We start from the raw sequence: 26953 nt of genomic DNA, 5'->3' as shown, positions 1-26953 counted from the left end.
TTCAATATGTGGATGATTTACTTCTGGCTACCAGTTCAGAAGCCTCGTGCCAGCAGGCTATTCTAGATCTGTTGAACTTTCTAGCTAATCAAGGGTACAAGTTGTCTAGGTCGAAGGCCCAGCTTTGCCTACAGCAGGTTAAATATCTAGGTCTAATCTTAGCCAGAGGGACCAGGGCCCTCAGCAAGGAATGAATACAGCCTTTACTGGCTTATCCTTGCCCTAAGACATTAAAACAGTTGAAGGGGTTCCTTGGAATTACCGGCTTTTGCCAACTATGGATCCCTGGATGCAGCGAGATAGCCAGGCTCCTCTATACTCCAATCAAGGAAACCCAGAGGGCAAATACTCATCTAGTAGAATGGGAACCAGAGGCAGAAACAGCCTTCAAAACCTTAAAGCAGGTCCTAGTACAAGCTCCAGCTTTAAGCCTTCCTACAGGACAGAACTTCTCTTTATACGTCACAGAGAGAGCCAGGATAGCTCTTGGAGTCCTTACTCAGACTCGTGGGACAACCCCACAACCAGTGGCATACCTAAGTAAGGAAATTGATGTAGTAGCAAAAGGCTGGCCTCACTGTTTAAGGGTAGTTGCAGCAGTGGCCATCTTAGTGTCAGAGGCTATCAAAATAATACAAGGAAAGGATCTCACTGTCTGGAGTACTCATGATGTAAATGGCACACTAGGTGCCAAAGGAAGTTTATGGCTATCAGACAACAACCTACTTAGATACCAGGCACTACTCCTTGAGGGACCAGTGCTTGAAATATGCATGTGCGTGGCCCTCAACCCTGCCCCTTTTCTCCCAGAGGATGGGGAACCAATCGAGCATGACTGCCAACAAATTATAGTCCAGACTTATGCCGCCCAAGATGATCTCTTAGAAGTCCCCTTAACTAATCCTGACCTTAACCTATATACCAATGGAAGTTCATTTGTGGAAAATGGGATATGAAGGGCAGGTTATGCCATAGTTATTGATGTAATCATACTTGAAAGCAAGCCTCTTCCCCCAGGGACCAGTGCCCAGTTAGCAGAACTAGTGGCACTTACCCGAGCCTTAGAACTGGGAAAGGGAAAAAGAATAAATGTGTATACAGATAGCAAGTATGCTTATCTAATCCTACATGCCCATGCTGCGATATGGAAAGAATGGGAGTTCCTAACCTCTGGGAACCCCCACTGGATGCCACAGGGAAGTTATGGAGTTACTGCACACGGTGCAGGAACACAAAGAGGTGGGAGTCTTACACTACCAAAGCCATCAAAATGGGAAGGAGAGGGGAGAACAGCAGCATAAGCGGCTGGCAGAGGTAGGGAAAGACCAGCAAGAAGGAAAGAGAGAAAGAGAAAGAGAAAGAGACAGAGAGAGGAAAAGATAAAGGAGAAGTTGAAGAGAAAGAAAGAGAGATGGAAGTAGTAAAGAAAAAACAGTGTACCCTATTCCTTTAAAAGCCAGGGTAAATGTCCATCTACCCAGCCAAGGCATATCCTACTTATGTGGATCTTCAACCCATATCTGCCTCTCAGACAGTTTGCAAGAAATAATGAAATCTATCCTTACTTTACAATCCCAAATAGACTCTTTGGCAGCAGCGACTCTCCAATACTGCCGAGGCCTAGACCTCCTCACTGCTGAGAAAGGAGGACTCTGCACCTTCTTAGGGGAAGAGTGTTGTTTCTACACTAACCAGTCTGGGATAGCATGAGATGCCGCCCAGCGTTTACAGGAAAAGGCTTCCGAAATCAGACAACACCTTTCAAATTCTTATACCAACCTCTGGAGTTGGGCAACATGGCTTCTCCCCTTTCTAGGTCCCATGGCAGCCATCTTGCTGTTACTTACCTTTGGGGCCTGTATTTTTAACCTTCTTGTCAAATTTGTTTCCTCTAGAATCGAGGCCATCAAGCTACAGATGGTTTTACAAATGGAACCCCAAATGAGTTCAACTAACAACTTCTACTGAGGACCCCTGGACCGACCCACTGGCACTTTACCTGGTCTAGAGAGTTCCCCTCTGAAGGACACTACAACTGCAGGGCCCCTTCTTCACCCCTATCCAGCAGGAAGTAGCTAGAGTGGTCATCAGCCAAATTGCCAACAGCAGTTAGGGTGTCCTGTTTAGAGGGGGGATTGAGAGGTGACAGCGTGCTGGCAGTCCTCACAGCCCTCGCTCGCTCTCGGCGCCTCCTCTGCCTGGGCTCCCACTTTGGTGGCACTTGAGGAGCCCTTTGGCCCACCGCTGCACTATGGGAGCCCCTTTCTGGGCTGGCCAAGGCCAGAGCCCGCTCCCTCAGCTTGCAGGGAGGTGTGGAGGGAGAGGCGTGAGTTGGAACTGGGGCTGCGCACGGCACTTGCGGGCCAGCTGGAGTTCTGGGTGGGCGTGGGCTTGGCAGGCCCTGCACTCAAAGCAGCCGGCAGGCGCTGCTGGCCCTGGGCAATGAGGGGCTTAGCACCCAGGCCAGCAGCTGCAGAGGGTGTACTGGGTCCCCTAGCAGTGCCAGCACACCAGCGCTGTGCTCGATTTCTTGCTGGGCCTTAGCTGCCTTCCTGTGGGGCCTGAGGGCTCAGGACCTGCAGCCCGCCATGCCTGAGCCTCCCACCTCCTCCGTGGGCTCCTGTGCGGCCCAAGCCTCCTCAACAAGCGCCACCCCCTGCTCCACAGTGCCCAGTCCCATCGACCACCCAAGGGCTGAGGAGTGCAGGTGCATGGCACGGGACTGGCAGGCAGCTCCATCTGCAGCCCTGGTGCAGAATCCACTGGGTGAAGCCAGCTGGGCTTCTGAGTCTGGTGGGGATGTGGAGAACCTTTATGTCTAGCTCAGGGATTGTAAATATACCAATCGGCACTCTGTATCTAGCTCAAGGTTTGTAAACACACCAATCAGCACCTTGTATCTAGCTCAGGGATTGTAAATATACCAGTCGGCACTGTATCTAGCTCAAGGTTTGTAACACACCAATCAGCACCTTGTGTCTAGCTCAGGGTTTGTGAACGCACCAATCGACACTCTGTATCTAGCTACTCTGGTGGGGCCTTGGAGAACCTTTGTGTGGACACTCTGTATCTAGCTAATCTGGTGGGGACGTGGAGAACCTTTGTGTCGAGCTCAGGGATTGTAGGGATTGTAAACCCACCAATCAGTGCCCTGTCAAAACAGACCACTCGGCTCTACCAATCAGCGGGATGTGGGTGGGGCCAGATAAGAGAATAAAAGCAGGCTGCCCAAGCCAGCAGTGGCAACCCACTCGGGTCCCCTTCCACACTGTGGAAGCTTTGTTCTTTCGCTCTTTGCAATAAATCTTGCTACTGCTCACTCTTTGGGTCCACACTGCTTTTATGAGCTGTAAAACTCACCGCAAAGGTCTGAAGCTTCACTCCTGAAGCCAGCGAGACCACGAACCCACCAGAAGGAAGAAACTCCGAACACATCTGAACATCAGAAGGAACAAACTCCAGATGCGCCACCTTAAAAGCTGTAACACTCACCGTGAGGGTCTGCGGCTTCATTTTTGAAGTCAGTGAGACCCAGAACCCACCAATTCCGGACACATTATTACTGATTCTACCTTGCTACTCATTATTGGTTTGTTCAGGTTTTCTATTTATTCCTTATTCAATCTTGGTAGGTTCTATGTTTCTAGGAATTTCTCCTTTTCCTCTAGATTTTCCAGTTTGTTAGTGTATAATTGTTTATAACAGTCTCTGATGATCTTTTGTATTTCTGTGATATCAGTTATGTCTCCTTTTCCATTTCTAATTTTGCTTATTTGGATCTTCTCTCTTCCTGGTTAGTCTAGCTAGGGATTTATTAATGTTGTTTATCTTTTCAAAGAACCAATGTGTTTGGTTGAACCTTTGTATTATTTTATTAGTTTCTATCTCATTGAGTTCTGCTCTGATATTTATTATTTCTTTCCTTGCACTAGTTTTGGGTTTGGTTTGTTCTTTTTGTTTGTTTGTTTTGTGTTTTTTAATCAAGTTCCTTAAGGTGCATCATTAGATTATATATTTGAAAATTTTCTCCTTTTTTTTTTTTTTTTTTTTGAGACAGAGTTTCACTCAGTCTTCTAGGCTGGAGTGCAGTGGTGTGATCTCAGCTCACTGCAACCTCTGCCTCCCAGGTTCAAGAGATCCTCCTGCCTGAGTCCCCTGAGTAGCTGGAACTATAGGCGCTCAACCACGCCCAGCTAATTTTTGTGTTTTTAGTAGGGACGGGGTTTCACCATGTTGGCCAGGATAGTCTTGATCTCCTGAATTTGTGATGTGACCGCCTCGGCCTCCCAGAGTGCTGGGATTACAGGCATGAGCCACCATGTGCAGCCTCCTGTTTTTTTTTTTTATGTAGGTGTTTATTGCTATCAACTTCCCTCTTAGCAGAGCTTTTGCTGTACCCCACACATTTTGGTATGTAGTTTTTCTATTTTCATTTGTTTCCAAAAAATTTTTTTTTATTTTCTTCTCAATTTCTTCATTGACCCAGTGACCATTCAGGAGCATGTTGTTTAATTTGCATGTATTTGTAGAGTTTCCAAAGTTCCTCTTGATGTTGATTTTTAGTTTTATTTAATTGGAGTCTGATAAAACACTTGATATAATTTTAATTTTTAAAAGTTTGTTTAGACTTGTTTTGTGTCCTAACATATAGTCTGTCCTGGAGAATATTCCATGTGCTCATGAAGACAATGTGTATTCTCAGTTGTTTTATAAAATTCATTTAATATCTTACACAATCACAGAACAGAGTTAAGAGAAACCTGAGATCATCTTGCCCTAAACCACATTTTGCACAAAAGGAAACTGTTATCAAGAAAACTATGTGATATGTCTTTAAAAAACAGTGTTTCCTATAGAACTCAAGTCTTTAATCTGCTGGTTGTTTCACTACAGCAGCAGTTCTGAAAGTATGGTTCAGGGACCCCTAGGGATTCCAAGAACCTTTGAGGAGACTGTGAGGTCAAAATTATTTTCACAGTAATGGTAAGACTCTATTTGCCTTTTCATTCTCATCTAGCATTAGTGTATAGTGAAGTTTTCCAGAGGTTGCATGACATGGGCTGTATCAAAAGAATAAATGCAAGCCGGAAGCGGTGGCTCACGCCTGTCATCCAGCACTTTGGGAGGCTGAGGCAGGTGGATCACCTGAGGTCAGGAGTTCCAGACCAGCCTGGCCAACATGGCGAAACCCTGTCTCTACTAAAAATACTAAAAGTTATCCAGGTGTGGTGGCGGGTGCCTGTAATCCCAGCTATCTGGGAGGCTGAGGCAGGAGAATTGCTTGAACCCGGGAGGCGGAGGTTGCAGTGAGCCCAGATCGCACCACTGCACTCCAGTCTGGGTGACAGAGCAGACTGTGTTTCAAAAAAAAAAAAAAAAAGAATGCAAAAACATACGAGATTCCAGTGGTTTTTCTCTTAAGCTAGACATTAGAGCAATTTGTGAAAATAAGAAATCAATTTTCTATAAAAAATGCTATTTATGTTAATATGTACAATGCCCATTATTATTATATTTTTAAATATGCTAATATTGATTAACATAACCTGTGTGTGTGTGTGTGTGTGTGTGTGTGTGTGTGTGTGTGTGTGTGTATATGAGGTTTTGGTGCTCTCAAGAATTTGTAGATATTATCACAATAAGTAGAATGATGCCATTAAAAGAAGGAAACAAGGACAACACCAGCTACCAATTTTTTAAAATTAATGGTGTTATAAAAATGTCTTCTGTGAATAGACAGTAGAGACTCAAAAGGGTGGAGTGGGATGAGTGATGAGAAATTACTTAACAGGTACAATGTATACTATTCCGGTGATGGCTACACTAAAAGCCAAGACTTCACCACTATGCACTATATTCATGTAACAAAACTGCACCTGGACTCCATAAATCTTACAAATAAAAAGAAATGTATTCTGTGGCACTCTCCTTCTAAAAATAGCTTGGGCTGTTTTGGAATAATTTTTAACTTATTATATGTGATTGCAAGCTCCTTATGTGCCTTGGAATTCAGAATTTCATGCTTCCACTTTCACAACTGACTTCATTTAACTTTATGAAGCTTGTGCTAAATATATAAATGCTTAAGGATATGTGAAAATCATTGAAAATGCTAAATTAAAATGATTTTAAACTAGTTTTAAATTGTATCAACTTTACAAAATAATTTTTTTCAGGGAGTTACGCTGTTTTCTACTCATTGCTTACTTAGGTTTATCGAAGGGGCAGATGAGAGGAGAAATTCCCTTTCTGAAACAAATGAAAAGGACACACAAAAATATTCTTCAGTTTCCCTGCCAATGTGTGTTTCCGCTCAGCCCTGAATTCACTGATTTTCTACCTGTCCTCACTCCAATATTTTTTAATCATCGGTTTTAAATCTTAATTCTGTAAACAGATCTACCATTTTCTTAGAAAATGAGGTATTTCTGGGAAGAACTGAAAAGAAATGGGGACTGGATTCATGAAAGGAACTTTTGGGGGCCTTTGTGAACAGGAGTTCTAGAACCACTAGGGAAGCTCAAATATTACTCCTTATAATTTTTGTATGATGTTATCTTCAATAAAGGGTGTCAATGTAGTCTTCCTGTTAGGTATGTCATAATTAGATGCATATAAAGGAGGAACAAACCCATGCAGCTTCTAGAACAACAACAAATCGGGAGAAAGGTAGGGTGGAAGTATCCTTCTGTCGTGGTTGTTATGTTCTTATGCTGACCTGAAACCATATTTTTGTGATTCATGAAGGTCATAAGAAAGATTATTTCCTTCACTGAACTTGGCTATTATTCTCACAAGTCAGTTATTCCCTTGGTCTCATTGGGCATGTTTTCACCCTATTTCCTTATCAGTTAGTGCTGGGAAGACAAGAACTTTGTATTTTATACACTGTACTGTAACATATAATATATGTAAACATGAAACAAAAACAGATTCATTGTGATTTCATTTTCTCCCACAGTGAAAGAATAGATTTAATCCTTTACCTAATTTGCATCCTTTGCTCTTCCAATCCTGTTCAATAATTCATCAGAAGGCAGTAACTTAGTGGTAAACAACATATTGTTTCCCCTTGTTGGTACTTAGTAAGCTTTAGCTTCTGCAATCTGTTCTCATGAAATGAATCCCATAATTCCTTTAATCATTTTAGTTACTCTTCTCTGGATCCATTCAATTAGATTACAACTTTTTGGCAGGAGAAGTACTTGAGTTGAACGGTCTTTCCATATGTTGTCTCAGAAGAGTGGTAAGAGAAAGACTTGTATCATTTACATTCATGGCTCAATGACTATATTCATTTTGACTAAGATAGCTTTCTGGATATAGTACAGATTGAACAAATGCTTGTGAATGAAAGTGTTTAATATGGACTTATTGACCATTTATTATTTTTCTAATCTATTTGTTAAGCCCTTTACTGACATTTGGTTTTTCCTTTGGAAAAACTGATTCTAAATAATGGTAATACTTTTAAAATATGTATCATGCTAATACCATAAATTAGGTTATACACCATATGTCCAACCAAGCTTTAGAACACTTTTTACAAAAATGGGCAAATCAAGGTTCAGGAAAGGATATTATAAAAAAATCATGGATACACATTGAGAAGAAGAGATTGTCAAAATAAGGTAAGGAAAAGAAGATGAAATGAATCAAATTGCATATTCAATAACAATAAAACTCCCAGGAGAAAATTTGGGTAAGTAGTACTATAAAGGAATGATTTTTTTAAAACATGTCCCAATATGTAACTGAACATGTAAACCAGCTTGGAGTTCTTTTCTTTGATATAGGAAAGGGAACATTTCTGAAACAAAAACGAAATTTTTCACAAAACATTTTTTTCCATAGCTCAATGGCACCTGTTTTGCATGGAGACAAGCACATGCAAGAAAAAGTTGTAAAAGTGGAAGCAAATGTGGTCTCAGAAGAGGATTGAGAAAAACTTAGGTAAGGCTCTGGTACAAGACATTGTGGGAATTAAACACCCTACTAGAGATCTGGGGGAAAGCACCAAGAGCAAGTCAAATACTAGGATAGGAGATAGAATCCCTTTTCTTGGGGAGGTTCAAGAGTCCAAAACAGCCATATTCAGGATGCAGTTTCAGGCTGGCATCAGCATCAGAACTAGGTCCAAATTCAAGATCTGGTTGTAGATCAGGCTACACAGAGCAGAAGCTTTAGAGTCAGTCATGGAACAAGTACCAATGGAATGGAAATAGGAATAGTTAATCACTGTCTTTAGGAAATGGGGCTTTTGAAATGGGCCAAGAGAGTCAGGCAGGATTGAGTGGTTGTAAGTATTGGCTTGGTCTTCCTCAGGCCCAGAAGACCAGGAAGAAGTGATTAGCCATGGAGACTATACACTTCCACATGGAAAATGCTTAGAGAGAATTTGGTTTGGTTCAGAAGAAACTGCATATCCTCCTTCATCAACAATACTTGAAGTTGAGTTGATAGCAGCAGAAGTGTGATTTCAAACCCCCTTTACTAGTGAAGAGAAAGCATTCCCTATTTCCTCTACTGAGTTAGGATTGTTTATGGGACCATATGGGGCAGCCTGTAGATGATTCTGTGTTCATTGTGCACAGTGGGGATGGTCTGGGATTTGTCACAGACTGACATCGGAGAATTGGAAAAGCTAAAGAAAGATATTTCAGTTTTATAATGAAGGTCCAGAATTAATTTGGAGGCCAGAGGGACCTAGAAAAGAAAATAAAAATGAGAATTACAAATGAGTGGATCTTTGCCATTGGTAAAAATCTGGGTCACTTATAGCTGTATTTTTCCATCTGTGCTTTTGTCTGTGGGCTTTGATAGCATAGTCGTCTAATAAGTGTTTCATCATCTGAATCTGACAATAGATATCATTCCAGAATACAATTGTTATGTAACAAAAATTCTGTATGTTGGAGAAAAAAATCAACCAACACAATTTTAAGCTTTGTATGTCTTTTGTTTGCAGGGAGTCAGGCGTAAACAAGCATTTGTCATTCGATTCTTCTAGTGCATTTCCAGCATACTGTGCCTTGGGCATGACACATCAGAATCTGATGTTTATCTTTTATTACCTGCCAGACCCCTCTGGAAAAGCCTCTATGGAATTCATCATCTGCAGTCTTTGTTGTAGGTACACATATAAATACATGTTGAATGCATTTGTTGAGGATATTGTGGTTTCTAACGCTGAACTTAAAAAGTGTTGAGATGAATAATGAAGAGGACCTTCTGCAGGAGGTATGAAGCTAATCATTAAAATGTTTTTAACCAAAATATTGACAGTAAATCTTTTTAAAAAATGTCAATTATTTGAATGCCAGTAAGAATAAGGGCAGCATAATTATACTTGTTATATGTCCACTCAGGAGAAGTTTATGAAGAATTGCCCTTCTGTACTACACAGTGAATTTATAAAGATAATAAAAACTAAACAATTCAAAATATTCATCTAGGAAAGCTCATTTGGTTTGAATAATCATTTAAGTTCAATAGGCACTGAGTTTCAGAAGCATAAGTATGCTATAAAAAAATTTATTTCTATTTTGGTTGTTATTGAGAGAATAATCTTTGTTTTTCTCAAAGCTTTGGCCTCTTTCTAATAAATATGCTTTGAGATTAAATGACTAAAGGTGGAAACCTGTTTTCAAATTATATTTGAAATGCACAGCATGAATAATGATAGCCACTTATAGGGTCTAGCATATATTAAAATAATCAGTTGTCAACATATAACATTTCTCCTCACTTCTTAATGTGTGTGTACCCAACCTTCACTCTTGTATTTCTGACTGACCATTCTGAAAGACTGAAGTGCAGACTTGGAGGCAAGCTGTGGTAAAATTTGGGAGGATGTGAGTTATCTTTAGTAGGTTAAGAAAATATAATGCAAGAAGCATACCTACTATGTGAAGAGTGCAGTGGAAGACCAGTGCATTATGTATGAAATAGTGGCATATAGAGAACAAACCTGGTCCCCACTTTTGCATGTAGTGGAGAAGATAGCTAACATCTAAGAATGGGTTCACTGATCTGTATAGTGAATACAAGCAGTTGTTTTGAAATAGAGTCAAGAACAAATGCACTTTCCCTAAGGGAAACTGGGCAAGGCTATGTGAAGAAGGCACTCCCTGAGGAGGAGCTGTGGCTTATCCTGTACTGTCATGTCACTGTTGTAGGCATCAAATGGTGGACATGTTTATGTGATTATAATGAATTTAGCTAAAAGTAAATTCATAGCTGCAAAGGAAGGCTTATAGAAAGAAAGTAAAGGTAATTAGCATATACATCATTAGCTTTTTGGGATTTTGATTTCTAACTATGTAACTTCTTGGACTAGTTTTACTTACTACTTCTGATCCCATGGCAGAACTCTGCTTTCTTCCCCAGCTCCCACAATTTTAGTCCAGGATTCCAGGTGATACAGCTCCCATGAAAGTCCTTAAAAGCCATGCCCTCCTCAAGACCAGTCTAGACCAAATGTTGATTGTTTACTCTTAGGAGAGCAGAAAAATGAACAATATGATTTTTAAACTGCACAATTCTCACAGCAAGAGACATTCTCTGTCTTTTGAGGAAAAGTTCCCTCAAAGTTGGAATAGAGCATTGTATTTACTAGATGTAATAAAGGTGAATCTTGGCTGGCCACTTGACCCAACTCCACTGAATAAGCTCTTTTATACTCTCCTGTATAGGTTCGCATTCTCAGGAAGTGAAAGAATATGGAAGGAGGGAGAGAGATGACATGTGACATTCCTTTTCCAGCTAACAGATGTTTGGAAAAGGACAAGACTGTGTTTCATGCTAGATGCTCTGGTAATGTGAGCAAGAGCAGCATGAAGTTAACTACAAAACACAGCAGCTGAACAAAAGCTCAGTGGATTCCGAAGGGCAGATTGTGTATATGGAGAAAATCCCTCAGAATACTTACTTCCCCAGTCTGAAGAAATTCTTTGTCAGAATATTCAGTAAAATGAACAGTTATTAATCTTAGGTTTGGTACTCCCCTAAAGAATATTTTACTGAGATTCTCTATTTAAAACAATGCTGTAAAGTCATGCATTCAGCTACATTCTTAGCAGTGGCAGACAAAAAATAGATTGAAAACACATTCTTACTTCTTAAAGTAGATCCTATGGGTGTATGAAATTGTGAAATTGAGTGAAAGAGTGGCATATCATAACAATTAAAATCTGTTTATCAAGAACCTTGTGTGTGGTGCTGAGCTGGGTAATATGTCAAGTGAGTAAGATCTGTTCCCCACCCTGCAGATATTTATAACTCAATACAGAGAACACTGACACAGGTAGACACAGTTCTGACGTTTCCATATCACAGAAGGAATGAATGCCATCTGGGGTGAAGTCAGAGACTCATCCTGCTCTGCAGCCTGTATCTGTTGGGGGCATGAAGTGCAGCCCCATGGGAGGCTCTACCTGACCTTCTAGAGGCTTGCTTCAAGAGGCTAGAGATTTACCTACCCCAGCTTTCCCTGCTTTATGCTATTGTCTGTGTGACTCTAGAGACCTCCTGATTCTTGTTTTGTATTTTCCATTTGTTTTGTCTCTGAGAATTCAGAAGATTTGTCTTCTGAAGATTTCAAGGTTTATAGTTCATTTTATAATTATTTACCTCAAACTTACCTACTTCCAGTGTATCAACTAGCTCTCCATTTAAGAATTCTCAGTGGAGAGACAAGACAAAAATTAGATTTGAGTTTCAAGGGCAGTGGATTAAGCTCGCACTTCCTGAAATGAGAATGCCTGCATTTTAATCTTGGCTCTGCTACTTACTAGCTGTGTGACATGGGGCAAAGTATTGGACTTCTCTGTACCTCACTGGGACATTAATAGTGCCTACAGGAAGGGATTTTGTGGAGATTAAATGAGTTAATACATGTAAAGTGCTTAGAACTGTGCTTACAATATAGTGAGAACTCATTAAAAAGGAGTCATTCATTACATATACTTTATTATGTTATGTTGACCTCTAATAGCTCTCCTGTTTTCATTTTTACAGCCTTAAAGAGTTTTACATGTTTTCCTTTACATGATAGAATTTGTTTGCTTATGATAGTAATGATAACAATTATATATAATATACCTTTTTACATAAACATATATCCATCCACTTCTAGCCTATTAAGGCTTTCCTAAGGCACAATGACTAGAACTATTTTTAGCAATCAGTTACAGGCATATCATAATTTTTTTAAAGGGTAGAGCACCTTCCCCTCTCACATTTAAAGTATTTTTATATTCATATTTGCAGTATTTTTATATGCTGCAGCAGCCCATTAGCTGATATCTTCACGAACAGTTCCATAACATTCTTGGATCTTTTTTCATACTATATTACAGAGCCCATTATCATAAATATATATTATATATACATGAATATTTAAATTTTTTCTACATGTCTTTTTACCTTTGAAATATTTTTGTTGCTTTTCTGCTCACCCACAAAGCCTTCACAAATTATTTTTGTCCTGTCTACATGGATAAATATATTTTTAGCCATACGATCTTAATTTCTCTAAAAAATATGGAGAATTCTTCTTTGATTTAATTATGAACATACTAAATAAAACAAAACTTTTTGCTTCCTTTATTATTTTAGTGTTCTTTATTATTTAGCTTCATATTATCAAAATCACATGGTGTTAGACCTTTGTAAAATTATGTTTTTCCTTCTCTGAAAATGTTTGGTTAGGTATATTTTTCTTGTGTAGAACTTCTATTGTAGATTTTGCATAACTTGCCCACAGAGGTGAGATTTGTTTATGGGTTGATACACACTGTTGACTATTAGCCAATTTGTTAGAAATAAAAACGAGACTCATAGCTTTTCATATGGGAGCAGCTATATCATTTACATTCTGATACTTCTTTCACACAGAGCTCTCAGTAATGATCGTTGCTCTATCATTCTCGGTCACATATGAATGTTCCACCTAATCTGCCAACTTAGGTCTAGGTTATTATCTTGTAAAAGTGGTGAGGATTAAACAGTTAGAAAGTGAAAATTTGATTGTAGAAGTGGAAATTAACCAGGTTGACCCTGACATTTGGCTAATCTCCCCACAAATGTGCTTGGAGATGAGAAACTCAACACTTTGACAAATAACCCATTCCATTTTGGGCTTATTATATTAAGTAAAATTCTGATTCATTGCAAATTCCAAGCAATTTATCTGGATTTTCCTTCTGTGCTTTGTTTTACTTCAAAAGATAGAGATACTATTGAACTCTCACTTGAAATGTGGAGTTTTTTTTTTTTTTAAGACCTGGATTTCCTTAGTTTTCTGTATTTTGTCACATATAAAGTTTGTAAGTAGCATGAAGAGATGAAATAAGAGTTGTAAACCACACATATTTGAATTCTGCTATGTTCTAGCTATGAAGCCAGTCAAGTTGCTGCATTTATCAGATCCTCAGTTGCCTCACTGAAATATATATCTATATATTTATATAGATATATAGAGAGTGAGAGCATGCATACACACACACACACACACACACACACACACACACACAGAGAGAGAGAGAGAGAACATTTTAGCTATTCTTCAGAAAAGCAAGAGAAATAATGTTTTCTCAGTATCTTAAGTGGGGTAATCATAACCGTGGTGAAAAGGCCTGATATTGAGGGTAACTACTGTGAAAAAACCCTAAAGAAAAGGTAAAATTTATAGAGTAAAGCTACAGAGGCATTGTAGAGCAGGCTTTCACTAGCACAAGCCCATCTAAGTAAAGAAGCACAGGTCTAAGCCCTTCTAGAGAAAACTTTGAAGAAGTCCATGCCATATTTTATCTAGGAAAGCTGTTTTGACTGAATCATCCTAGTGGGTTACCATCAGGTCTTGCTGACATCCAAAGAAGTCTCATTTAGAATCTTTTATAAAGGAGAAGTCTGAGTCAAATGTCCTTTCTGGCCTTATACTTCAACATGGTAGGTCTTGGTTATAATTAATTAATTAGAAATTATTTACTCAATTACTACTTTATGCTAGGCAATATGTTAGGCACAAGGATACATCTAAATGCCACCTTCTAAGAATCTTCAGTCTTTGACATGTTCTTCTTGTCATCCTTTCCTGACTTGACTTCTTATCCCATCTGTCTTGGATTCCATATCCCATTATTTTAGCATCTTCCTTGCCCAAATCCTCAACTTATTTTTGTCATTGTCCTTCTGAGTTTGTGACCTCATGAAACCTTAAACCATGGTGTCTTCACATTTCCAGCTGAGCTTTGCTAGAGAAAATAATTACCTGTGCAGATTGGTGTCACTTTAAACTTTAAAACCTCCAATTCTTTCTGGGCCCTTGATATTTTTCTTTCTTGAGTCGGCTCTTTCTCAGTTTCCACTATAACTATGTGAAACAATTTCCATTCTCCTTAAGCCTTTAGTCTTCCATATTCCTACTCTATCTGAACACTTCTTACCCTAAAGGGAAAATTGGAAGCATCACAACCCTCCACCTTTTCTTATCCAGAATGGATAAGATAGATTAAGGTTTAAAATCAGTTTTAGATTGAAATTCTGCCATTTATTGGGTGAAAATCTTCCTGAGGCTCAGTTATCTCATCTGAAAGGCACTCATGAAATGTTAACAATTCTTTGCTTTCTGTCTTTCTCCTCCTAATAGTCCTCTTCCTCCTCATTTTTTCTCTTCCTTCCTTGTCTCAGTCAGTTTGGGCTAATATAACAAATTGCCGTAGGTTGGCTGGCTTAAATTACAAACATTTATTTCTCACAGTTCTGGAGGCTGTAAGTCCAAGTTAAAGCCTCTGGCAGATCTAGCATGTAGTGAGGCCTCACTTTCTGGCTGGTAGATGTACATATTCTTGTATCCTATATGGTGGAGAGCAGAGACAGAGGAAGTAAGCACTCTTCTATATTTTTTTCCCCATAAGGGCACTAATTGTATCTTGAAGGCTGTAGCCTCATGACCTAATCACCTCTCGAAGGCTCTACCTCCTAACATCATCGCATTAGGTGTTAGGGTTTACTGTATGGTTTGTGGGGGACACAAACATGCCGTTCTTAACTCTGCTCTTTCTTCTAACGATCTACCCCTTTTCCTTCCTCTGATAGAGGAAAATGTATTAAAGTTAATTCCTTTATTTCAATCCCAGATTCCATCTTTTCTGTCCTCCCAGGGACCTCCCTTTATTTTTTTTCTACTCTCTCCTACATCTCCTTTTTTGTTTCCTTTCATTAAGCATGTATTTATATATGTGTATATGTATGTATGCATGTATGTATGTATGTATGTATGTATTTATTTATTTATTTATTTATTTATTTATTTTTGAGACAGGGTCTCACTCTGTTGCCCAGGTTGGAGTGCAGTGGTGCAATCTTGGCTCACTGCAACCTCCACCTCCCGGATTCAAGTGATTCTTGTGCCTCAGTCTCCCGAGTAGCTGGGATTACAGGCGTGCACCACCATGTCCAGCTAATTTTTATATTTTTAGTAGAGATGGGGGTCTTGTTATGTTGGCCAGGCTGGTCTCAAACTCCTGGCCTCAAGTCATTTGCCCACCTTGGCCTCCCAAAGTGCTGAGATTACAGGTGTAAGCCACTGTGCCTGGCTGTCTTAGCATTTAAATATATGCAAGTCTTCTCTACCTAAAAGCAACGTAAACTTTTCTTGAACCTCTATGTACTCCCCTGGTAGACATATTTTCTGTCTTCTTTACTTCATACTTTTGAGTTGTATTTCATATTTTCATTTGATAATATTTCTTGTGTGCCTGCTGGGTGTAGATCCTGGGCTAAACAACTCACATTCCTTTTCAACTCACTGGATCTAGCTGCTGCTCACATGCTTCCACCGTGACTGTCCTTACCAAGGCCTCCAGTGACTTGGGTTGCAAAATACAAAGGGCAAGTATTAATAACAATCTTATTTATCATTTCAGCAGCATGGTCCATTGGTACTTCCTTTTTATGTTTACTCATTAACTATGGTGGGTTTTTAGTTCTATTTATTTATTTATTTATTTTTACTGTGCACCATTTAAATGAACATCTCAGTTCTCTTTTACATCTCTTATTTTCTCAGTCCCTGTTCTTTCCCTTAATAATTCCAACCACTGTCAAGGCTATTTTTTCCTTCCATTTTGTCTTTTACATTTTGACCCTTATGGTCAATGCTTGCTGGACACCTCCAGATGACACAATCACCTTAGATTCCATATGCCCAAAACAGAACTCATAATTTCCTTTCTCAAGTCTTTGCTTTTTGGGTTTCCTAGTCAGAAATGTGGTTGTCATTTTTCATTCCTCTGTCTCTGACACTTCCTATATCCAGCTAGTTACCAAGCTGCGAAATCCACTTCCCAAGTATGTCTGCACTATGCTCATTTCGCCCGCTTCTCCAGAGCTATTCTCCTAGTTCAGATCAATGTAATCTCTACTCCAGATTACCCAAGTGGGTATTAGAGATATAAATAGTTCCTTGTTTTATGGTATCCTGACCTAGCTGTAGTGTTTCTCAATTCTACAAGGGACACTTAAATGTATACTTGGCACTTAAGAGATCATAATGCCTGGGACTAAAGTAATTAATGCCTTTTAGTTTGGAGAAAAAAAACTTATACATGGACGAAAGCTCTACTTTAATGATACTGAAAGTTATTTAATGAAGCATTAGGTGAGATCTCCAAAGGGATACTATATAATTTACCAATTATAATGAAGACAACATAACTATGAGTTATTTGAAGGGACAGAAAGTTTAATAAGGATTCTACTTTCATTGGAGACTTAAGAACATCAATCATCCATTAAAAATAGAGCTACTATATATGATTCAGCAATCCACTACTGGATATATATCCAAAGGGTGTGGAATCAGTATGTTGAAGAGATATCTACACTCCCATGTTTATTACAGCATTATTCACAATAGCTAAGATATAGAATTGACCTAAGCATCTGGCAATAGATGAATGGATAAAGAAAAAGTGATATATATACACAATGGGATAGTATTCAGCCTTTGAAAGGAAGGAAGCCTTAAACAGGCAATAATTAGCTTAGCCCAGGCATTATGATCCCTTAAGTGCCAAATAAAATTTTCTGTCATTTGTTAAAACATGAATGGACCTAGAGGACATTATGTTAAGTGAAATAAGCCAGACACAGAAAGACACATACTTCATGATCTCACTTATATGTGATGTGTAAAAAGGTTGAACTCAGAGAAGCAGAGAGTAGAATGTGGTTAACAGAGGGTGGGTGGTGAAGGGATTGGGGAGATGTTGGTCAAAGAATAAAAAATTTTATTTAGAAAGAAGAGTAGTTTCAAGAGATCTGCTGTACCACATGGTGACTACAGTTAATAATAATATATAAGAGGACCTCAAAAAGTTCATGGAAAATGTGTATTATAAAAACTGTGCGTGGATTTTAAAATATTTTGAACCAAAGTAAATTCATGCTAATTTGTTATGACATGTCTGAACAGGATATAGTTTGAGGCATTAAGCATAGGACATCAGTTTGAATACAGCATGTATCAGAGCAGCATGAATTCTGCTAAAATCAAAGCAAGAATGAACATCAAATTTATGGTGAAGCTGGGGTGGAAGAATGGTGAAATCCTTGATGCTTTATAAAAAGTTTGTGGGGACAATGCTCCAAATAAATCAGCAGTTTGAAATGGGTGACTCTTTTTGAGAAGAGATTAAACAATGTTGAAGATGAAGGCTGAAGTGGCAGATCATCCACATCAATTTGCCCTAATTGTTCATGCCTTGATTGAAGACGGCTGGCGATTAACAGCAGAAACAATAGCCAACACCATAGACATCTCAGTTAGTTAAGTTTACACAATTCTGACTGAAAACTTAAAGTACAGCAAAGTTTCTACTTGATGTGTGCCAAAACCATTGTACCCAGATCAATTGGAGATAAGAGAAGAGCTTTCAGTGGAAATTTTAAACCGGTATGATCAAGATTCTGAAGAATTTCTTCAAAGAATTGTAACAGGAGATAAACATGGCTTTACCAGTATGATCCTGAAGATACTGCACAATTACAGCAATGGCTAGCAAGAGGTAGAAGTGGTCCAGTCAAAGCAAAAGTGGACCAGTCAAGAGCAAACGTCATGGCAATTGTGTTTTTTGAGATGCTCAAGGCATTTTGCTTGTTGACTCTCTAGAGGGCCAAAGAATGAGACCTACTTATTAGGAAAGTGTTTTGAGAAAGTTAGCCAACACTTTAGCAGAAAAATGCCCAGGAAACCTTCACTAGAGAGTTCTACTTCACCACGATGATGCTCCTGCTCATGCCTTGCATCGAACAAGGGTAATTTTGTGAGCATTTTGATGGGAGATCATAAGCATCCAGTTTACAGCACTGATTTGGCTCCTTCTGTCTTCCTTTTGTTTCCTAATCTTACAAAAATCTGTAAAGGGGATTCATTTTTCTTTAGTTAATAATGTAAAAAAGACCGCATTCATATGTTTATCTTCCAGGACCCTCATTTTTAAAGGGATGCACTAAATGGCTGCTATGATTGCTTACAAAAGTATATTAACCTTGATAGAGCTTATGTTGAGAAATAAAGTTTATATTTTATATTTTTATCTTTTAATTCCATTTCCATGAACTTTTTGACATACCTTCATATTGTATATATAAAAATTGCTGAGAGAATAGATTTTCAGTGTTTTCACCACAAAAAATGGGAGATAATATATATCCTAATAGCTTAATTTAGCCATTCCACAATGTATACATATATCAAAAGATTATATTGTATACCATAAATATATATAATTTTTACTTGTCAATTAAAATTAATAAACATTTTAAAAGGAAAGGAGATCTAGGTCACCTTTTGTAGCCCTTCTGTCCCCAAATAAGAACATTAATCATTTTGTAATGGATGGCTACATCAAACCACCCTGCAGGTTAATTTTTGGTTGTGGCCAGAAAAGTAGGTAACTGTCTTATCAGGACAGGCTAGATAATCAACAGGAGCCTAGGAAAGAAGGAAACAGTGTGACCCCAAGAAATGATAAAACTAGTTTTGTACAGATGGAGATAGGGTTTGTATGTGAAAATTCCCAGCTGTGAAGGCTGGAGAGATTGTTGAGAGCCTGGATTATGCAGAGCCTTAGAGAATACCAATTTGAGTTTTCCCTGAAGGTGAAGGGAGAATTGTGGAGGTATTTTCAGCAAAGAAATAACAAAACCAAAATTGTGTTATAGAAAAATAACATGGCAGTAGTATGAAGGATGAATAGAAGAAGGGTAACATTGGATGCACAGAGAATGGCTAGAAATTGTGGAGTTGGTCAAAGAATACAAAATTACAGTTAAATAGGAATAATAAATTCAAGACATCTAATACACAGCATTGTGGCTATAGCTAATAATATACCTTCTTGAAAATTCTAAGAAAGCAGATGTTAAGTGTTCTCATCACCAAGTGATAAGTATGTGAAATAATGCATATTTAATTAGCTAGATGTAACCATTCCATAATGTATACATACTTTAAAACATTTTGTGGTATACATACATACAATTTTATCTGTCAGTTTAAAAAATTAAAGGAAAACGCCAAAAAAACCCCACTAGACAATCTTATAAAAATGGGCAGTTTTAAAAAGACACTTCAAAAAAGAAGATATTGAAAAAAATTGTGTCAATCCAGGTGACAAAAGATGGAAAATGGAAGAGCTTTATTTTTTTCTTTTTGAGATAGAGTCTTGCTCTGTTGCCCAGGCTGGAGTGCAATGACGAGATCTCGGCTCACTGCAACCTCTGCCTCCCAAATTCAAGCAATTCTCCTGCTTCAGCCTCTGGAGTAGCTGGGATTACAGGCACCCGCTACCACACCCGGCTAATTTTTGTATTTTTACTAGAGGCGGGGTTTCACCATGTTGGCCAGGCTGGTCTCAAACTCCTGACCTCAGGTGATCTACCTGCCTCGGCCTCCAAAGTGCTGGGATTACAGACGTGAGCCACCGCGCCCGGCCAGAAGCGCTTATTTTTAAATGGTAAATCACTTGAAAAGAATTGCCACGTGTATTTAACTCTTTCTACTTTCTCGTATGCTACTTTCACATTTTTACTATTATAATGAAGGTGGCACTGAACATACATGACGTATCTTGGATTATTTTCTTAAACCAAGTTGCTAGGAGTAGGAATACAAGGTTAATAGGTACGGATATTTTTAAAGTAATTAATACAAGTTTGTGATGTAGTCTTTGAAATAACACTTCTGTAAATATTTTAAGCACATTTTCTTTCTTTTTTCTTTGAAGAACACACTTAAAGGTAACTGAAGGCACATTCTTTCCTCTTTGACATATTCTTTTAAGTTTGATAATTATCGATCCCTTTTTCCACTATTTCTAACAGAGGTTAAAACTTGATGAAATTTTGATTTGCTTGTTTGCGTTTTCATGCACCTCTCTCATTAACAAAATCAGATGTTTGGTAAATGCATTAATGCCTACACCTCGGACTATAACTATTATATAGGGGTCAAAAAAAGTTTTTTTTTTTTGTATTGACATTAAAAAGGTAACTGTTAGAGAAAATTAAAACTAAATCAATAAAATCATTGATATTTAGAACCTAAATAACTCATTATTATATTGGAAAGAAATTTATTAGGTCAAATTAGGGTCTACATTTAATGCTTGGCAGTATTCCTTTAGGTTAAGCGTTTTTTAGTTAATTTGATCAAGTCACTGAGTTGAAATGCAAAATGATAAACTTATATTAAACCATATAAACACCATTTCAAAAGAATCACCATGGTGAGAAAAACATGAATTATGAAAATGTCTTGTAATGAACTTGAATGTAAGAGGAAACATTTTTTATGGCCATTCCCATGTATGAGACAAAAAGCCATCTGACGAAACGATAGTGGAAACATTTTTGAATTGTGAAAAGCTGCTCTGGTGAAAATATCAAAAGAATGAAAATCAACCTGTTGTAGCAGAAATTTGGGATTGTCCAAATTAAGCATGAATTAAATGTATATATTTATGCCATGCAATCAAAATGAAACTGCATATCTGTACTTACGCTCATGATTCTTCCAGCCTGGTTTACCTCACTCCCTATCTTCAGCTGAAATGCGCCCTCTTCTGTTTAAGGTTAGCCTATCTGAAGACTGAAATACTCTGCCTGTGTAGTAACAGCATTACTGTAGAGTCCAAGCCAGGCTATTTGGATCACACTGCCCCACTCTAAGAATCCTCGGACTGCTTGATATGCCTTCATGATTCTGAGAGGTTCCCCTATTTTATTGTGTTTAGAATCTGGAGCTTCTTAGATAAGGGAATAGTGCCTGACCCAATGAAAGTCACCTCTAGGCTGGCCAGGGCCTGTGAGGTAATCTAGAATGAGTTATCTTTCCACCAGAAATCCTCAGTAATGCATAGTGCCCAGGCAATATTTGTGGCTGACCTCTGTTTAGTACTTACCATGCATCAGGCATTGCTTTTCCAACATAATGGTGCCACCAGGGAGAGCTGCACCACTGAGTACTTGATAAATGGTCAAATATTTCTAAACTGATTGGTAAACAGTGGCTAACAAGAGCCTCTTAATGGTCCACTCTACCCAAACTTTTCTACCTGTCCTAGTATTTCCCTGGGGCTCTTGGACCTGTCCACAGCCCATCAATTAAAGAGTTAAAGAACTAGTACCTGGCCCTACAGGCCCTCCAGGACCTTGCTACAGCTTCCTAGCACCCCAGCAATGGTTGGGAGGATATCCTGGTGACAGTGTTCATTAAGAGTGTGCCAAGTACTTGGTGCTCTGGAGCCAACTGGCTGGGTTCAAATCTGAGCTTTGTCACTTATGAGACTTGTGAGCTTGGGTTAGTTGATTAGTCTTTCTTTGACTCAATTTTTCTCATCTCTGAAATAGGATGGTAATGTATTTATCACATGGGATATTTTTCAGACTAAATAAATTAAGACAAAGCATTTAGAAGAGATCTAGCACATAATAGGCACAATATAAGTGTTGGTTATTTTTATTAGATGTACTAATGGCTAAATATTTTTACCATCACCCTTTAGTACCACACTAGATACCACTGTTGGGGAAAAGACAGGTGGTCACTGCTGATACAGTTGTGCCTCATATCTCTAGAGCTGCTGCATATTCTGAACAGCATTCCGGTAGTTTTGAGACCTAGTTGTGTGGTAGTTGAGAAAGTTTATTTCTTTACTTCTTACCTTACATTTTAAATCAATTGGCAGTATTTAACAATCATGAAATTTCAAATAAAAATCCAGATTTCTGGCATGTTTTGAAAATTTGTAAAACTGGCAACACGAGGGCCACGTTTTAATATGGCAACAATTGTCTGGACTCCTGTGTTGGCTCCTTCCTGGGAAGGGCTATCAACTACTGCGTTCGCCCTCCAGCCCATTGTGTTTTTTTGTAATCTGTCTGCTATTTGAGTTTGCTCTCCTTGAACTAGGCTAACCTGAGCATATCTCTTTCTTTACAACATGGAGGCCCTTAACTGCCACAGCAACACTTTATTGCCTCTACTAGATTGTAATATTCTTTGTGAATCATGTTTTATGTTTTGTTTATTTTTATGTCTTTGATTTTGCCTTATCCATAGTAGGTTACAACTTCACTCTTGGGACTAATGAAGGTTAAACTGGTGGTGATGTGAATTAAGATGGGTTTTGCTTTTATACAGAAAAGAGTTATAAAAATACAATTGAAAAAGAATATATAATTGAAGAAGTTGAACAAGTTTTATGAGTTACACAGATCACACTATATAATAAAAACAGAATTCCATTTAAGTCAATTATCAAGCTATGGTGATGTAGGAAGCACCTCAAATAAAATACTTAGATTTGAATTCCTATTCTTCCTCAGATATGACCTTGAACAAATTACCTAACCCCTGTGGGTTATTTCTGCTTTGGAAAAAATGTAGGTGATAATAAATATTCCCTGTATGTTGTGGGTATTAGATGAAATATAAAATATTGTCTGGATATGGCAATGCTTTTAAAATGTTAATATTTTTATAGGTATTATTTTAAAGACTTTATTTTTTTGTTGTTGAGACAGAGTCTCACTCTGTTGCCCAGGCTGGAGTGCAGTGGTGCGATCTTGGCTCACTGTAACCTCCACCTCCTGGGTTTAAGCGATTCTTATGCCTCAGCCTCCCAAGTAGCTGGGACTACAGACACCAAATTAGCCATCAAATCTGGCTAATTTTTTGTATTTTTTGTAGAGATGGAGTTTTGCCATGTTGCCCAGGCTGGTCTTGAACTCCTGGCCTCAAGTGATCCACCCACCTCAGCCTCCCAAAGTTCTGGGATTACAGGCGTGAGCCACCCCACCTGGCTGGATATTATTTAAAAGACTTTAGGCAAATTAAATTTAACAGAGTTTGATTGAGCAAAGAATGATTTGAGAATTGGGCCTCCCTGAGAACCAAAATAGGTTCAGAGCGACTCTGGAGCTGCCACATTGTTGGATAACATTTATGGACAGAACAAGAAAAGTGATGTACAGAAGACAATAATGAGTCACAGAAACAGCTGAATTAGTTACAGCTGGGAGTTTCCCTTATTTGAACATGGTTTGAACAGTTGGCTGCCTGTGATTGGCAGGCATCTGAAATTCTAATTGGTACAGGAGTAGGTTATAGTCTGTTTATAAAGTTCTAGGCCAAACTTAAGATATGTAAGGAGGTAGCTTTATGTAAACAATTCCTCCCTTTGGGTCAACCTCTTAAGATTGAGAGGTTGACTGAAACCTTAGGCATTGACGTCACTCTCACACCATTGTAAATGGACTTATTTGGTCTCAAATTCCACTGGGAAATAGCAGTACAGTGGATTTTGTAAGGTGGGAATATGGAAACAGAATGAGAGAAAAATAACCTGATTGTTTACTTTAGGTTAATTTTTTGTAAGGGTTAGAGCAGAGGGGACCTCTTTATTATGCTGGGATCTCCTGTTTTCAGAAGAAAAAAAAACTGTACTGTTTTGGAATCTATCTTCTTCCTTAAAGTTTCACTGTGATTATGTTGTATTAGCATGAGTGATTTTGTTTTGATTTGGTCTGTTCTGTTGGGGTCTAATGCAAGAGTTCAGTCCAGAACAATGGTCTTCCATAATTTTGTTTAACAATTCTCTTCTTTTGGTCAGGTTCTCACCTAGATGAGAGTGTGACCAAAACTTAGGGCTTTGGTGCTACTTCCTATTACCATTATTTTGGGTTTTCTGTCTTAGCACATTATTGATAGGTTATAGTGTCTTCACGATCAGGCATTTCTTTGAGATTTTGTCATTCCAGTCAAAGATACCATCTGACATTCTACACATGGCTGTCTGCAAACATTTAAAACTTTGGAGAGAATATAGCATACCAGGGAGAATACTATTGTGACTGTCAGAATGATAATGATAATGACTACTATAGTGACTGGCAGGAGCATACCAAGAATTTGGAGTATGCTCCTTAGCCAAGGTTCCTATTAGTTCCTATTAATCAACTAAAGTTAAATAGATCAAAGAATAAGCCAGATGAAAAGTCTACATGTTTTAATTAAGCAGCCTGTTCATTAATCTCTTGTAACTGAATCTCTACAAAACCCAGTGTATTTATTCATGTACAATAAGAAGTGTAAGCCACTGCACAGATTTCTCCCTGTTCAGCCTGTAGGTAATCTAGAGCAATTTTATTATCTAGCACAACTTTAGCAAGAGAATTTAAAGAAGTCTGCTGCACAGCCACAGGTTTTGCAGTAAAATCTGCTGTACAGACTACTGTAAGGGATACATTTCTAATCATTACCTCATTTACTCCAAGCCATAGAAAAAGGGAACTAACAAATGATGCCCATCTAGAAAGGTGAAGGCCTCTTGGCAATGTTTTATTTAACCTAGGATGTACGTTAAAAGAAGTGGACTGATGTTCTGTTTCTGACTGATTATGGAGTAACAAAGGTGTCATTAAAATTCCTAGCCTACACTGGCCCTTCATCTTGCATCCATCAAGAGATAAGGTTGCTCATGTATAAGGTTGTCTGTGAAATCTAACACAAATAAAAATATACTTCACACACATAGGCCCCTTTTCCCACTGTGTTGTTCCAAGAGGCATAAGCAAGGCAAAAGTTAAGAAAGGTTAAGAATCTCACGATGGAAGAGAAGTCTTGTTCCATGATCTTGGGAAAGCTTTCTATGTCTAGGATGCCATCTGCTTCAAGGGAGAAAGTTCTCTGGTTAGCTTTACCTTAAGGTCTCTAACAAGTGTTTGGTTTCAAGAGGCTGGATGGGCCAGACTCAAGGTTCAAGGTCCCAGTATTTTACTGCAGTGTGAGTGGCAAGGGAAGTCTTTCTCTGATGGTGTTTCCAGAAGGCCCAGTCTCTAAGTTTTAGACCATGAAGGGTTTGACTGTACCCAGTCAGTGGATCATAAAAAGCTCCTTTTACCTAATGAAAATACACTTTGGCACAATGCATTGAAGCCTGCATTGTAGCATTTAGTCATATAAGAATTTAGGTGCAGAAGATACATAAGGTTCTATTATTAGAGGCCTTACAGTGACTATTTCATAAATGGTCAACTCATGTTTTGATTGGAAGAGGAACTGATTGTTATCAGTCTGCAGTACCTTTGACCAAGACAATTCAGTCCATTCAGTTAGACTTGCCTAATGCTATTATAGCTGTAACACCTTATGTTTTACAACTTGTCCAGTGAAACAAGTACCTTTATTGTTGGAGATTTCTCTAGGAATGTTCCATGAGAGAAACACATTTCTTGATAACCGTTAAGCTATTTTAGCTATTGTTATTGCATTAGCCTTCTTGCATGAGAAAGCTTGTATATAACTAGAAAACATGCATTACAAATGACAATTGAATAGAAGCCATCTGTAAATGTTCAAATGGCCCATCAAGTAGCAAAAATGTACCTGAAGTTTTTTTTGTCTTCCTAGGATTATGGATTTGACAAAGCAAAATAAACCACTTTGGCAACTTAGAATAGTCATGACACCAGTATATTTTTAAAAATATAATTTGGATGCAATCTCGGCTCACTTCAACCTCTGCCTCCTGGGTTCAAGCGATTCTCCTGCCTCAGCTTCCCGAGTAGCTGGGATTACAGGTGTTCACCACCATGCCTGAATAATTTTTGCATTTTTAGTAGAGATGGGGGTCTCACTATATTGGCCAGGCTGGACTCGAACTCCTGACCTCGAGTGATCCACCTACCTCGGCATCCCAAAGTGCTGAGATTACAGGCGAAAGCCACCATGCCTGGCTGAGTGTAGAGCTTTCAATGATGGCAGTTTTAATTACTTGAGAAGGACCAGGCAGCTCTCCAGACTCTCCATGAGTCCACACTCGACAATGAATTCATATTATCTTAAATACAAATTTCGTTTCTTCAATTTAGGTGCATAGCACTGCTTATCAAATGGGTTATTGTAGGCAATTTGACTTGAACCATGAACCTCATTCAAATTGCATATTTTAACAACATCAGTACTGGCTGATCTAGCATGGAAATCTGCTAAAGTATTTCCTTGGTATTCAATTAGTTCTTGTGCTACTTAAGTTGGCAATTTTATAAACTGGTCAACTTCTTCATTAGAGCTTTTAGTATTCCTATCCCGTCCAAATGTATATCATTCTAGAGTTATCAGAAACCTGTGTTCAAGAGTGTTTATGAGCATTCTTTCAAACCTTTCCATGAACCTCCTTGAGGACACAACATTTTAGGATTTTACTTGATTGTAATGAGCTTTAAGAAAGTTCATCAGAATTAATAAACTGTGAATAAGACTTAAAATGGTTATGGTTAAAGATGCAATTGACAAGGAAATTTGGCTCTTTCTGTATCCTATAATAATTTAACATAAATAAACATAATTATTGCTGATAACATATACTAAGACATATCAGAA

General features: G+C 38.4%; 1 protein-coding gene across 5 annotated transcripts in view; it reads left to right on the top strand.

The window, feature by feature from the left end:
• The window catches only part of LGSN (lengsin, lens protein with glutamine synthetase domain), a 297657-nt gene that overhangs the window by 244454 nt on the left and 26250 nt on the right, over window positions 1–26953 (top strand). For 2 of the 5 annotated variants that reach the window (XM_047418866.1, XM_017010930.3), the window contains 2 exons: window positions 7855–7953; window positions 8969–9240. In XM_047418866.1, coding sequence (XP_047274822.1) covers window positions 9157–9240 — 84 coding nt within the window. In that variant the 5' untranslated portion in view covers window positions 7855–7953; window positions 8969–9156. Of the gene's footprint in view, window positions 1–7854; window positions 7954–8968; window positions 9241–26953 lie in introns of those variants that run through there. The other 3 variants (NM_001143940.2, NM_016571.3, XM_011535892.4) reach the window with 2 other exon arrangements.

This window comes from Homo sapiens, chromosome 6, assembly GCF_000001405.40.
Source record: "Homo sapiens chromosome 6, GRCh38.p14 Primary Assembly".
NCBI lineage: Eukaryota > Metazoa > Chordata > Mammalia > Primates > Hominidae > Homo > Homo sapiens.
This window is presented reverse-complemented; position numbering and strand designations above follow the sequence as displayed.